The 14,781-nt window shown below is 42.6% G+C and overlaps 1 protein-coding gene across 3 annotated transcripts in view; it reads left to right on the forward strand.

The window, feature by feature from the left end:
• PCSK2 (proprotein convertase subtilisin/kexin type 2) overlaps positions 1-14,781 on the forward strand; it is a 258,472-nt gene that overhangs the window by 143,627 nt on the left and 100,064 nt on the right. The window lies entirely within an intron of this gene.

A 14,781-nucleotide genomic window follows, 5' to 3' on the forward strand; every position in this document is an offset into this window, starting at 1 on the left:
TTGGCAAGGTTTAAATCAACTCTACCTGATGATATTGAATTGAAGGGTGGAAATGAGCCATTTGGGTTCTTGTTGGACAAAACCAAAGGCAAAAAGCCAAAAACTGCAGTGACTCACATTGCAGCCCCAGCTTTATGAAAGTAAGAGCGTTATCTTTTTTGATTATTTGTGTCACTTATGACCACTCCACTGACTTTCCCCCATAACATTGAGAATTACTATCCCTTGACAAACAAGCAATGTTAGCAGAGAATCACCAAAAGCCCTGCTGGGCTAGAACCACACACTCTAACTTTTGACTCAGCAGTTCACACGCTGCTTTCCTGATGAAGCCCACAAGCCCTTTAAACAGAATCGATCACTTATTTTAACCCCAGGGAGTACAAGATTCAAGCATTGGTGCGTTCACTTAAAATTATCCAAACTATTTCTAAGCTATACTTCTGAGACCTCCAGATCTAGGTGTAAAAAATGTTGTCTTAGTCATTGAAGAGACTCATATTTAGAGAACAAGGGCTTGCATAAAAGAAAGGATGGTTACCCAGCAAAAAGTGTTTGGAGGTCACCAGTCTGGGTCATTTGTCCTGGAAGGCGAGTGTCTCTACGTTGCACAAAGAAAGGGGGAATATTCCATGTGTTTCATGCACTGGGCAACAAGAAACAAGGCATTCAAGGGATCTTATAAATCTAGAAGAGCATAAATTGAGAGGAGCATCTTTTTTAATATTAGGAAAAACTATTAAATGAATCATTGGCAGAATCCAGCCAATGTGGCCCCAGAAAGAAATGACAGAAATTAAACCAAAGCTATATTCCCAGCAATGATAATAATCCATGTCTATGGAGAAGACCATTGTAAACTGCCTGTGCCAGCGGTCCTGTGTGTGGAGTCTGAGGAAACAGCCCTTCTCCCTGTCTCCTCATGGTGCCTTCCCTACTGAACATGAGTGGAGCTGTCTGCTGGTCTTCTCATGCACTTCCTTAAAGGGACTGCCCTGGACACAGTCCTTGCTGCCTCTCCCTGACTATGGCTGACTCCGCTAGTGCCTTCACCTTTCCCTGCCTCCTCCATAACTGCAGGGCCCTGGAGATGTGTCAGGCAGGGGATTGAGAAGTGCTGCATTGCATTTTCTCCAAGGCTCTGATGTATCTGGGGCTGTTCCTCACAGAGAGCAAGTGTGGCAGGGATCATGGCCTCCAGGGTCGGTGGTCCTCCCTCCGAGGGCTGTCCCCACTCCACCCTCTGCAGACAGAGGCATTGATATTCTCCACAGTTCCCTCCATCTCCAGGACCCAGTGCCTCACAGGGCAGCCACGTGGAGTTCTGCTCACTTTCCCAAACCATACTTGGGGAAACAATCATCTTGTCACTTGGAGGACTTCAAGGTGGGGTGGTACCCATTGGGCTGGAGAGCTGAGGGCACATGGCCTGTCTCCTGTGCATAGCATAACCCCACAAAGGCCTAAGACATGGAGACCGACCTCTGCATCCTTCCCTTCTCCCTGCCTAGCCCAGGCAGTTCCTGTCAGGCTGCTCCCAACTCCAGCTGCCAGATTCGAAAAAGATAGTCATTCATTGGGGGCAAGAATCCTCTGGGGTTCCAGTGAGCTGCAGGTACAATGTTAGTGGATGGTGTGATCCATCTGCCAAAACCTTCATCTGAAATTGGAATGTGAAACCTCCATATTGAGCCGTGCCAGCTCCTCTGAGATCTGCAATACCAGAATACACCTGAAGAACTCTTATCGGTTCTGTGAGTCTCAAGTTCTTTTTTCTTCTTTTCTTTCTTAAGAACATTTTTCTGATTAAAAAATAAATGCATGTTATCTGTCAAAAAATATGAAAAAGCATAAAACAGATTCAAAACTAGCCATAATACCACCATTCTTATTATTTTGACATATTTGGGGCCTTTAATTTCTATGTGTCTATTTTTAATGAAATTGAGCTCTTATTGCATATTCTTCCCTTCTGCTTGATGTGCCATAAACATTTTTATGTTATTAAATATTCTCCAAAACATAATTTTAAGGGCTACATGGCATTAGCTCATGCTATAATTTATTTAAACATTCTGATCTCCAATTGTTGAACAATTAGGTTGTTTCCAATCAGTGTTTCACTGTAAGAGGGAGATGAGATGGCAGACAGTAACATGGGTGGACTCCAAGCCATACCATGCTAAGGAGAACTGAAAGAACTGGAAAAGCTTTTCCTGGAAAAAAGAAAACAGGCACATTGAGTATGTTTTCAAATATTTCAAATTCTCCTGGTACAATGAGGCATTCCACTTGTTCAGTAATTTCTCCCAAGAAAATTCTCACCAATGGGTGGTAACCACAGAAGCAAAATTTTAACTCAGTCAAAGGAAGAACTGTCTAGTGATTAAGATAGTAAATTATTGGGAGGCCAAGGCAGGTGGATCACGAGGTCAGGAGATTGAGACCATACTGGCTAACACGGTGAAACCCCGTCTCTACTAAAAATACAAGAAATTAGCCGGGCGTGGTGGCATGTGCCTGTAGTCCCAGATACTCAGGAGGCTGAGGCAGGAGAATCGCTTGAACCCAGGAGGCGGAGGTTGCAGTGAGCTGAGATTGCACCACTGCACTCCAGCCTGGGCGACAGAGGGAGACTCTGTCTTGAAAAATAATAAATAAATAAATAAATAAATAAATAAATAAATAAATAAATAAAAATAAAAGATTAGTAAATTAATGAAAGTAACAAATTCTTCATACCTGAAAATATTCAAGAGGAAGTTTGATGGCCACTGGTGGGATGTTATTGAAGAGATGACAATGTCTATGCTGAACTTAAACTAGATGAGACCTAAGAATTGAACAGAAAATGTGATTTCTGTGCAAAACTGCGCATCTTGATAACTTTCATTCAGAGCAAAGTCTGAGTCTTCAACTTGTATCAAACACTTGGAAGCTGACAATGAAATTATATATATTTACATATGGCTGTGAAAATGTTCTGCCTCTGGTATAGATGAGAAAACTGAACACCTAACTACCTCGTGCTTGATTCCTCAGCAGAGGGCCCAAACTGGCTGGTTTTTAATGGCACAGTGTCTCTCTCACCCTGTGTAGAGTTCAGAGTGGCAACTTCGGAGCTACTAACCACACTAATCTTCTTTATTTTTAATTAAAAATTTTACACTATCATTAACACAATGAGGACAGCAAATAGAGTAGACCAGCCCAGGAGAGCAATGAAACCAGTAGACAGTGATAGGCTCGAAAATTGTTTGAGCAGAGAATTAGCAGGCAGCTTCACACCTCGTTAAGTGACCTAATGGCTTGGAGGGATGAGCCAGCCTGGTGCCCCTTGAGAGAGAGGTACTTGGTGGAGTCTTTGCTTGGGTTTCCCTAGAAGCAGACTCTGAAGCAAGGGTTTGAGTACAAGTAGGTTATTTGGAAGAGGATTCTAGGAAGCAGGGGTAGAGGACAGGGAATGAGTCCGGGAAGGAAAGGTAGCTTGTAAACGGGGCAGTTATCAAACAAGACAGCACTGTGGGCACTGAGGCTTAATCTCACTGGGCAGCTCTGGGAGACAGCATAGAATATGTGAGCCAGAGTGATCCCCCTTGGGATGTGATGCCTCAAGAAGCTGGGGTATTTATGTGACAACTTCGTCAGTCATTGGTTGAGGGCTTGTCCCAAAAGATGTTCCTACCTCCCCACAGCCTGGGGAAAAGCCCTGGGCAGAGGTGTGGGTACAGACAGCTGCAGCTTACCAGGGACATGAGGGTTTCAGGCTGAAGGGGGATGTAGCAACGTCTGCCCCAGAGATGCCTTGGAAATTCATTAAAGGTTAAAATAAATAGACATGTTCTATGTTGAAAAAACTCCTTGTGGTTACTGATTTATTTTCAGTGAGGATTGAAAACTCTACCCAAGGCTCCTCAAAAAAATTACTTTATAATCAAACCAACCAAAATGTTTCTGAAAGCAGAATTATTTTCAAAGCTTGGTTATTCTGTATATTAAGAGAGGAAACAGCATATGCTGGTAGTCCAGTTTATTCCCATTAAACTAAGAATAAAATACTTGGAAAATTGCAAATCAATATATAAATGTAAGTTGTTAGTGTTAATCTAATTCAAAAAATCCACACTGAGCCTGCTGAGTGTTGGGAGTAAAGGATAATAACGGCCACTTGGATTATTACTCTATTGTTCTATGATTGAATTTCATCGGAGGGATCCAGTCCCACTGGTAAAAGTTCACTATTCCAAATAATTAAAATTTTTCTTTTTCTATCCCAATAGTCATGACACGAAATGAGTATTAGCCAAGAGGCTATTTTAGACCAGGTTAAAATTATAACCTCCTTTACCCATCTTCGCTATAATAACTGGGTATTTTCTCTAAGTCAATACAATGGCTGTGGATTGAACCTGCTATGTGCAAGCCCCAGAGGAAGAGAGATAAATAAGACACAGGCACTCTCTAGAGAAGTCGGCAGGTCAGTAAAGATGCAAGCATGTGAGACATGACTGTCAGGTGAGGGGTAGGCAGACAGGGAGGTTCGTTGTCTCTTTACTCTGAGCTCCCAATCCAGTGAGGATTGCAGGCTGGGTTCACAGTACGGGCCCAAGCTCAGGGGTTCTGTTAGGTCTATGGAACAAAGGGAGACTTCTTCAAGAACATGTGGAGTGTGACTTAGGTGGCAGCTTTCAGGGCATGGAGGTGGGTGGGGTAGAACGTCTCCTGCTTTGTAGCTTTGCTGAAGCTACAAAGGTGAAGAAAAGGCTGGTGGGTCTGTAGAATCCAAGGAGAGCCTTCTTGCTGTGTGCTGGGTTTTCTCAGAAGCAGACCCTGAGACAAGGATTTGAAAGCAAGTCATTCATTTGAGAGGAGATCCCAGGAAGCACCAGCTGGGAAGGAGGAAATTGATGCCAGAAAGGGAGAGTGGCCCAGAGAGCAAATTACCCCCTAGGGCAATGGGAGCTCAATCTCCCTGGGGAACTCTGGGAAACAGTGTGGACCGAGTGGGCCTCAGAGTTACCCACAAACTCCTGTCAACCACTGGGTGAAGGCCACTACCCAGGAGTAGAGATGAGGTGGGGAGATAGAAGGATTCATTCTAGACAAGAAAAATAGGGCCCTGCAGACAGAGTCTTCAGCAGAGTTGCATGTGCTGACAGTTGGAAAACAGCCAGCTTGCAAGGGTAGGGTTCTGACAGTTGGCAGTAGTGGAAACTGAGTCAAAGCTGAGATGACTCCTGGCTCCCTACCTCATGATGCAGCCTTAGAGGAGCATATCAAACATCTTTGAACCTTAATTTTTTCATCCGTGAAATGGGCAAAATGGATGTCTTGTCAGGTTTGTTGCAAGGTATCCTTGAGATAATATGCGTATCAGGCCTGGCACATAATAGATGCTCAATAAGCATTCATTTCCTTCTGTCTCAGAAGAGTTGAGGTTACAACGTTGCACAATTTCGGGTTGTCCTGATGGAGAAGCAGGGGTGTGCCTCAAGAAACCAGTGCAGTTGTTCATTGGACCTCCCAGTGAGCTTAGGGTCATTAAAAGAAGAAAGGGCAACTGATCCAGGCTAAGTATAAGATTGTGAGGGTTGCAAAGTTAAGGGCAAAAATCAGAGGATACCAACATAAATCTCAAAGGCTTTGAAAAACAACATCCAAGAAAAGAGAAGGTAAAGGCAGGGAGAAGACCCATTGCTCGTGGCCAGGGATGTAATGAAGGATGCCCCCGAGGAAGCGGCATTTCTGACCTGCATCTTCTTCCCTGTCACATACCTTAGAACTAGATGAATATTCAAGGATAGTCATAAGGGAGGGTTAATCCCTAAGGTGGGCAAAGGGATTATAAGGTAGCAACTACCCCAAGTGAGGTTTTCTCCGAGCCAGGGAAATCTCCTGGTATTTAAGCCATTGCAGGGTGGGACATCAACTCCTGTTCTGATGGCTGGGAGGATGGGCCACTTCTTGCACTCCGTCTTCTAGCTTGGAAACTGTGAGTGATGCTCTGAGCAGCTCCAAGATCCTGTGCTGAGAATCTGTCTAGATTCATGACACTTCATGAGCTTTTCCAAGAATTCTTGAGTGCAGCAAATACAGAAGTTTGCATTGACTCAACTCCACATCCTTCCCTAGACCACAGCTTCTGCCATGGGACTCTGTAGAATCTCCCTTTAAAGAGGTGAAGTGTGTTTCCTACCCCTTGACTTTGGATTGGGCCTTGTGACATGTTTTAAGCAATAGAATAATCTAGAACTGACAGTGCCAGTTTGGAGCCTAGGCCTTAAGAGGCCTTGTGTGCTCCCAACTGCCTACCCACGCCTCTGCCATCGCCATTAGAAGGGCATTCCCAGGCTCTCCTGCTGTACCCTAGAGGAGGGTGAGAGACATGGAGAAGAGCTTCCCTGCTGCCACGGCCTGAAGCACCACCACCCACACTGGCCTACAGAGCTGCAGTAAGAAGCAGAGCTGCCTAGCTGAGCCCCACCAAAATCACCAAACCTCAGCCAACCCACAGAAACAAGCAAGCCAGCCAAGCTCAGCAGAGCTGCCTAGCTGAGCCCAGCCCAGAGCACCTAGCTGCCAGCTGAACTGTGGACTCGTAAGCTATCTAAACACCTGCTGTTATATGCTGCTGACATATTATGGCCGTTTTTGTGTAGTAACTGTTACAGCTGCCCATGCTAGACCCCCTTCTCCATCCTCCTACAGTACTTGAGGTGTACCCCAGTCTGGAGAGAATATTGGCTTCTAGGCCTATCCTAGACCTACTGAATCAAAATCTTTAGGGACAAGCCTCATAGTGTGTATTTCTTTTAGAATATTGGCTTCTAGGCCTATCCTAGACCTACTGAATCAAAATCTTTAGGGATAAGCCTCATAGTGTGTATTTCTTTTGAAGCACTCCAAGATTCTGATGGTTAACCTACTCATTCATTTTGGCACTTCATTCATGCATTCAATCATTCATTCATTCAACAGTGCAGTTTACCTATAATGTTTGACTACATCACAGTTAGATCATAAGCTCTTTGTAAGGAAGTGTGTACTTTGTAAGTGTTTTGTGTCCCTCTTAACACTTATCACAGTGTTAAGCAAGCACTTAATACATATTTGTTAAATTGCATTAAATGTTAACTCACCAATATTATTGCAAGTAATACCAGGAACTAAATTATATGATGACCCTCTATCGACGATGATCAGAAACTGCAGCATGCACAACCCTCTGTGTAATTCCTAGTTCTCAACCACCTCATAGGTGGATGCCACCATTGCCTCCTTCATCATGCATGATACTAAGGAAAGAGAGGACCCTGGAACCTAACTGAGTTCCTATGGCTGCAAGCCTGGAGAGAATACGATTCGAGAGGTGAATAATCCACAGGCAAATAACTACAAGCTATTTCTTTTCTTTAATGTCTAGAATCCCTCAAGTTGCTGGAAATGCAATTAGGTTCCTAGATAGGAGAGGACAAATTATGTTCTTTGGTTCCGTTCAAAATTTGGAACATTATTTATGTTCCAGGGTTGCTATTTCACCAACAGAAGTGATCATAAGAGAAAAAGGCCCACCCCTACATTCCTGCACTTTTCCATTCTTTAGATGGGTCCTGACAGGTGACTGTCTCTGAAGTGGGTGCCTGCTGAGAGCTCAGAAGAGCTGCCAGCACAGGAAGTACCTTGAGCTTGACAGAAGTGTGCACATTGGGCCCCAGGGGGCATGTGGCCTCCATGATAAAAGGGCGACAGCAAGAAACCGGCACAGTACTCAGCCCCGAATGACTCAGATGTTATGAAGTATTGATCACATACATTGCTTCTGGCTTTTAGGCCTATGAATATTTAAATAAGCACATTAATATTGCATATGAAACTGAGGCTTAAATAACCTTTGTTTCTTATTGAAAGGAAGGGCTGGCATTTTCAATGTGCTCTTGAATGCTGGCTGGATCATGATGAGCACTTTAGCACCAGATCAGACTGAATACTGAGAATGGGGACTTTTTAAAAATCACTTTGATAGACCGTCAGTCAAATGACTATCACTTAATGCAACTCATGTACTAGAGGAAACTATTTATTTTTACAGAAACATACTTTGCTTTAAAAATAGGGCAGAAATGAAACCTTGCTTAACAAAATGAAACTACTTGTATGGACCTAAACTTACAGCTATAGCTGAAAGCAAAGAAAATATCTGGTCATTCTATTATTTTTAATTATTCAATTGACTAGTATTTGTTTCATTGAACTTAGTCAGCATTCAAGAAAGCCGTATTGTTCCCACTGTGCAAAATGCTATACTAGGGGCCTGAATTATGAAGTGTGAAAAATCCAGTCCCTGACCTTGGGGGGTTCACATGTAAGTATATAATTACATTATAATATGCTTAGTGCTAACCTGGAAATAAAACACCACCCATATAGGAATGCAATAGCTAGAAAAAGCAAGTCAGCCCTAAAAAATTAGAGAAAGAAAGATACTTAAATGCATTTAAAGAATGCAGCTCACCACATGGGGGATGAACTTGTTTTCTTGGGTCGATACAGCATATGAATTCATCTAGAAGCTTCATCAATACGATACTAGACAAATGGGTAATTGGATTTCATCTGGAGATTTGCTTCCACCTAGAAGCCTAGACTTAAAAAGTAGCCCACATCATTTCCTTACCCCAAATTCCCTAAAGCCCTTCGACAGATTCTCATCTCTTTGACTAAATTTAACTGGCTTAAAGACCAGGGTAATGTCTTCCAACTCTTTTACTCATGAGAGAATGAACCAGCGGCCTCATTCCCCACAGAGATCATTAAGAGAGACTTCATAAATAAAAGACTGAATTATGGATGGATGGACGGATGGATGGATGGATGGATGGATGGATGGATGGATGGATGGATGGATGGATGAATGGATGGATGGATGATTGGATGGATGGATGGTTAGATGGATGGATAGATGGATGGATAGTTGGATGGAACGGATGGATGAAAAGATGGGAGGATGCTAATGAGACTATTGGGATTTTATTCCATTTATCACTAAACACACCTGTTCAGAAAAAGTGTAGCAATGTTTACTGATAAGCCACAAGAAAGTCATTTATGCAAATATAAGAAAATTGAAAGATTACTATTCTCAACTGCCTTTGTTCCTTTCTTTGTCTTCATTATCGGTATATACGCACTGAATTCCCAAAATGTGAAATATTTTACTGGCTTTTTTATTTGGGTTTCTATCTCATAGAACCAAAAACCTTTAGGTGACCAAGCCTTACAAATAATTAACTTGGCAATAACCCCTGGCTACAGCTGTGGTTCAAAATGCTGCTTCTGCTGAGCTGACATCCATTTTCACTTTGTCCCTCTCCTCATGTGCCTGTTTCCCAATCATACTGTCTTAAAGCCACAGTTCTGGGTGTCTAAGGCAGGCCTGACCAGATTTCTGAACCCATGTCCCCCACCCAGGAGGGGAGTAGTGGGTTGATGCCACAGCAAAATGGGCAGTCATCCACACTGCTTGCCCATGTCTTGTTGCCAAGCAACAGAGCCCAAGTGGGTGTGTCCACTAGAGCCACACCTACATGGGATCATTGCCTGGGCAAATGTGGATCTGATGGAGACCAAACGTCTGATCCATCATCCAATTACAGTTTTCTGAAGCAGCAACAAAGACCAAGAAACAATGCCCAGGCCTCAATTAAGAAGGATCAGACTCTGAAGCCATGGAGTCTTCTAAAATATGATAGAAGATAAATTTTGTGGTTGTGTCAAAGAATCATGAGTACTATAACTGTCATTTTGGCTAGAGCCCCATTCTTACCTTTAAAAGCTCTTAATCATTTTTCCTTGAAGACAAAGACTTGATGGTAGGCAGAATTGTAAAATGCCCCCCTAAGATTTCCACCCTCTGCTGTAAGCACTCTGTATAGTCCCTCTCTTGAGTATGGCAGGACCTGTGAATATGATGAGATATCACTCTTACAATTAGGTTATTAGATTGCATTATATGGCAGAGTTAGAGATTTTTTTCAGATGTCATCAAGGCGCCTAATCAGTTGACTTTAAGCTAATCAAAGGAAAGACTATCCTGGGTGGGCCTGAACTAATCAGGTGAGCCCTTTAAAAGGTAATCTACAAGTCAGAGAAGGAAGGAGTCAGAGAGATTCTAAGCAGTGGAGGCTTTCACCTGTTGGCCTTGAAGATGCCACTGCCATAATGTGAACAGGGCCACATGGCAAGGAATGGCGGACTCCCTGGGAGCTGAGGCCTCACTCCTACAACCACAAACAACTGAATGAACTTGAAAGAGGACCCCAAGCCCTAGATGAGACAGCTCCAGTGACACCTTGATTTCAGCCAGGTGAGACCTTGAGCAAAAGCCCCAGTTAACCCACGTCCAGAAACTCTGAGATAAATTTGTGTTGTTTTAAGCCACTATGTTTGTAATAATTTGCTATACAGCAATAAAAAAACTAATACAACCTTCTTGATTATAGTGGATATTTGAGCACAAACTGAATGACTTGCTGTCTCTCTGAATTAATAAAAATAGACCACTCCTCAGTTTTTACTTTTTCTTAATATGTTTGCTTTTATCTCAAAAATAAGTATACTCTGCCTATTGCCACATGGGGCCCTTTCATAAATAATAATTCTGCTGCAATGAGAGGCTCAGAGAAATTTAGTGAGGAAGTTAAGAAGAGCTCTTGGGCCAGCCTCGCTGAATTCAAATCTCACGTCCAACTGCTTCTTAACTATGTGCCCTAGGCAAGTTAATCTCTCTGTGTCTCAATTTCCTCATCTGTAAAATGGGTTAATAATAATACTGATCTTACCGGTGATTGTGATAATTCAATTCAGTAGTGCACACAAGGCCCTTAGAACTGCCTCTGGCTCATAAGACACCCTCAATAAGCATTCGATGTTGTTAAGTCCCCTGCCCAAGATTGCACAGCTAGAATTCAGCAGGGAAGAACACAAGCCTAAGGTGGTCAGACCTCAAAGTCTGTTCTCTTAGCCTCCCCCTCCCTTCCTGCCTTAAGGACACATATGAATTTGCAGAAAGCATTTTTTAAATGAAATTAAAAGGGGCAATTAGTGCGTTATTCTAAGTTTTCTTTCCACTTTCCTGCTAACAACTAGTGTGTTATTCTAAGTTTTCTTTCCACTTTCTTGCTTCCCCAGCCCTCCCTGTCCTGCCTCCCAGAATACTTTACTGGTTTCCCCTGGGAGCACATCCTTAATAAATCACTTGCCTACAAGCTTTCATCACAGGGTTGGCTCCCAGGAATCCTGATCTTACATTAGAGCGGTCTGGAGCTTTAGGCAAAGCAGAATTTTCCATCCTACATGGCCAAGGCGGAGAGAATCTCTGACATAGAAATAAGATTAGCTTCTCCACCATGGTAACCCTGCTGCTGACTCCCAACCTACGGGAAATTATTTTTCACAAAGAAAGAATCTTTAATTACTAACCAATAATTAAAACCTGAAGCCAAGAACAGGAAGCCAGACTTTGGCTCTTAGCAATGTTCCTTAACATCACCGGGAGTATTATGGTGAGGTCTGCACTTTCCATGTGGCATGCACACAACCTCTCCACAATGAGTGCTCTGCTAGGCAGAAGAATAAGATGTATTACAGTGTGTAGGAGATGTTTTCATTAAGCTATGGAAAGAGATGGATTATGTTTTATAACTCAAGCATTGCCAATTTTTTAAATAAGGAGTTCAGTGTAAGTCTAAGCTATTCAAAGAGCACTAGTTCACAGACTCCCATTGAGGTACTGCAAGCCAAAAAAAAAATGCGTTGTTTGATCTTTATGGCCCTCAGTTTCCCCATCTATAATTGTCATCCCCAACAAGATTCTCATTGTCTCCAGAATCAAAAGAGTATAATGATTATTCATATGGCTGATATGAACACTGGGTCTTTGTTGATCAATCAAAAAATAGAAATTAAATGGAACTTCTGAGAATGTTCAAGGCGTTGAAGCTATTCTGGTATGGGTATTGGACCACCCTCCCTTTTTTTCTCCACAACACCCCACAAGCATACACACACATATTCTTTCTCTATCATGTAAAGAATGTTCCAGAACACTAGGTGGAAAGGAGCCAGTCCCTGTGTAGAGGCCTGTGTGGTGACAGATGGGCACTGAGTCATTTGATACAGTCAGCACCTTGCAGGAATTCTTACCAGGCACTTTACCAACAAAAAATATATTATCTGTGAATAAAACCATGGCCAAGGCTATTAACCACTTCGATTAATCACTCACAAGCGGTCACAATGATCCTATACTACATGGCAGCTTTATTGGGGAGTTTTGACTTGTTGCTTGCTTGATTATTAATAACTCGCAAATCCATCTCTCCTCCCGTGGAGAGTTGGTAGTTGGCTAACGAAGTATGAGAACCATGTGTTGTCTCCCACCTCTTCTCCCTGCCGTGGTTCTGATATTTCTCCATTGATTTCTGTGGAATAGCAGGAGTGTTAGTTCCCAGAATTTGTTGAGTATTTACTGTGTGTTTGGCCTTGTGTTTTATATGCATGATCACATTTAATGAGCGTGTTAAGCCAGTGAAGTGGGTACTTTCTTACCCACCTGTCATAGACGGGAAACTGAAGATCAGAGAGGCTAGTGATTTGCCTTAGCTCACACAGACAGTGAGTAGCAAAATGTGAAGTTCACCATCTGTCATGCTGCCTTCATTTAACCTGGCCCCCTCCAGTCTCCCACATCTTACCAAATGGCATCGCCATGGTCACAATGACTAAGGTGCTAAACGTTACCATCCTTGACTGCTGCTCCCTTCTTTTTCCCCTCAGCCACCCTATCTGCCAGTTCTGCTAGGCAATACACCTGCCTCTCTGTTCCCACCACTGGCATCCTGGACCAAGCCAGCATCACTTCCCTCCTGGACCCCACAAAAGTTTCCTGCTTCCACTCTTACCCTCTGCAATGCATTCTCCCCAAAACAAGCAGAAAGGTCGTTACAAAGAACAAAGTAGTGGAAGCCATATCACTTCCATGCTTAAAACCAACAGGTGGCTCTCCCCCTTCCCTGTGAGACTTAGCCTGTTTGCCTTTGTCCTGCTTACTCACGATGAACCAGACTCTACAATCCAGGATTCTCCCTAATTAAAGGCTTGGAAGACTGTCACACTAGCTCTTCCCACAGTTGAGTCCATCTCAACTTATATTGCACACCCTGTGTAGCCACTTCCTAGTTCTTAAGATAGTCTGTGGTTCTGTATTTTTGTTTTGTTGCATGTGTTCCCCCATTAGAATGTCAGCCCCAGGAGGATGAGGCCACGGGGATCTGACCTGTCTTGTTCACCTCTTTATCCGCAGCACAGCACCATGGCTGGAACCAAGTGAGTGGTCAGTAGGTATCTGTGAGATGACTGACTGGCTGAGGATTGAACACTTGGCTTTCCTCTTTTTCTTTTGCCTTCACCTTTTAATTTCTTCTGGCCATGCTTTCTCCTCACATAGCTCCTATCTCTGTCTTTTTGCTATGCTTCTCCTTATTTATACCTCAGTCAACACCAGCATTTTGTTATGAAAGAAAAGCTGCAGGTCAGTGCCACAAAGAAGACAATTTCCCCAGGAAATGAACACTTCAGTACTTCTTTAGTAACTTCTGGGGAGAAATACTATATTTCTTCATAGCTACAACCAAAAAACAGAAAGCCTCTCTATCCAAGACTGCCTTGTCCATCCCAAGAAAACAGAGAACTACAGAAAGCAGCAGGAATGATTCCCTTGATGCTTTTAATTCATTCATTTGTGTTATATGCAATTAACAATAGGCCAACTGATTTCTCAAAGCATGCAATTTCAAGCTGAAAAATTAACCTAGGTTATTTTCCACTCAGTTAAGTATCAAAAAGATTTTGAAAAATAAAAAAAAGAAAAAGAAAGAGGAAAAAAACCAACATGAGCATGTTCTTAACTAATGAGCTATGCTTATCCACTGTTCCACTAGAAGAGAATTTTCCAAATATGGACACTCTATTCACAAGTCTCTCTTGAGAAACGTGGTGTTACAGTGTCACCATTATTAATATTAAACTTGATGCACCATATTTACAAATCCTTCCAAAGGGAAACAAACCTGCCCTGGAAACAATGCTTATAATTATAATCGTGGATTCTATCTGTTCCTCACAGGGAATGCTTAAAATATCAATTTAAATGCAAATGAATCTTATCATTCCAAATTAGACTCATCCCATTGTGTTGAAATTAATATAGAAAATAACACCGAACACCAAATTACAAGTAATTAATATTGACACTGTGAAAAGTATACACTCTCATTTTGATATTTGGGGAAGAAAGTCTTGTCTGTGCGTGTGCCATTGTGTCCTATAAGCAACAACTAGAACACAATACCCTCAGTGCTAGTAATCATGCAGGATTAACACAGCAAAAATCTGAGAGGGAGGACAAATGGCAATGATACATCTTAGAATCCAGTAATCTATTCTTTGGGTCTGAGGAAAAGCACTTAAATCTGTATTTAAGTGACTACATACTATTTAAAAATAAACTATTTGAGGCCAGGCCTGGTGGCTCACACCTGTAATCCCAGCACTTTGGGAGGCCGAGGTGGGTGGATCACCTGAGGTCAGGAGTTTGAGACCAGCCTGACCAACACAGCGAAGCTCCATATCTACCAAAAAAAAAAAAAAAAAAAATACAAAATTAGCCGGGCATGGTGTCACATACCTGTAATCCCAGCTACTTGGGAGGCTGAGGCAGGAGAA

This window comes from Homo sapiens, chromosome 20 (assembly GCF_000001405.40).
Source record: "Homo sapiens chromosome 20, GRCh38.p14 Primary Assembly".
Taxonomy (NCBI): Eukaryota; Metazoa; Chordata; class Mammalia; order Primates; family Hominidae; genus Homo; species Homo sapiens.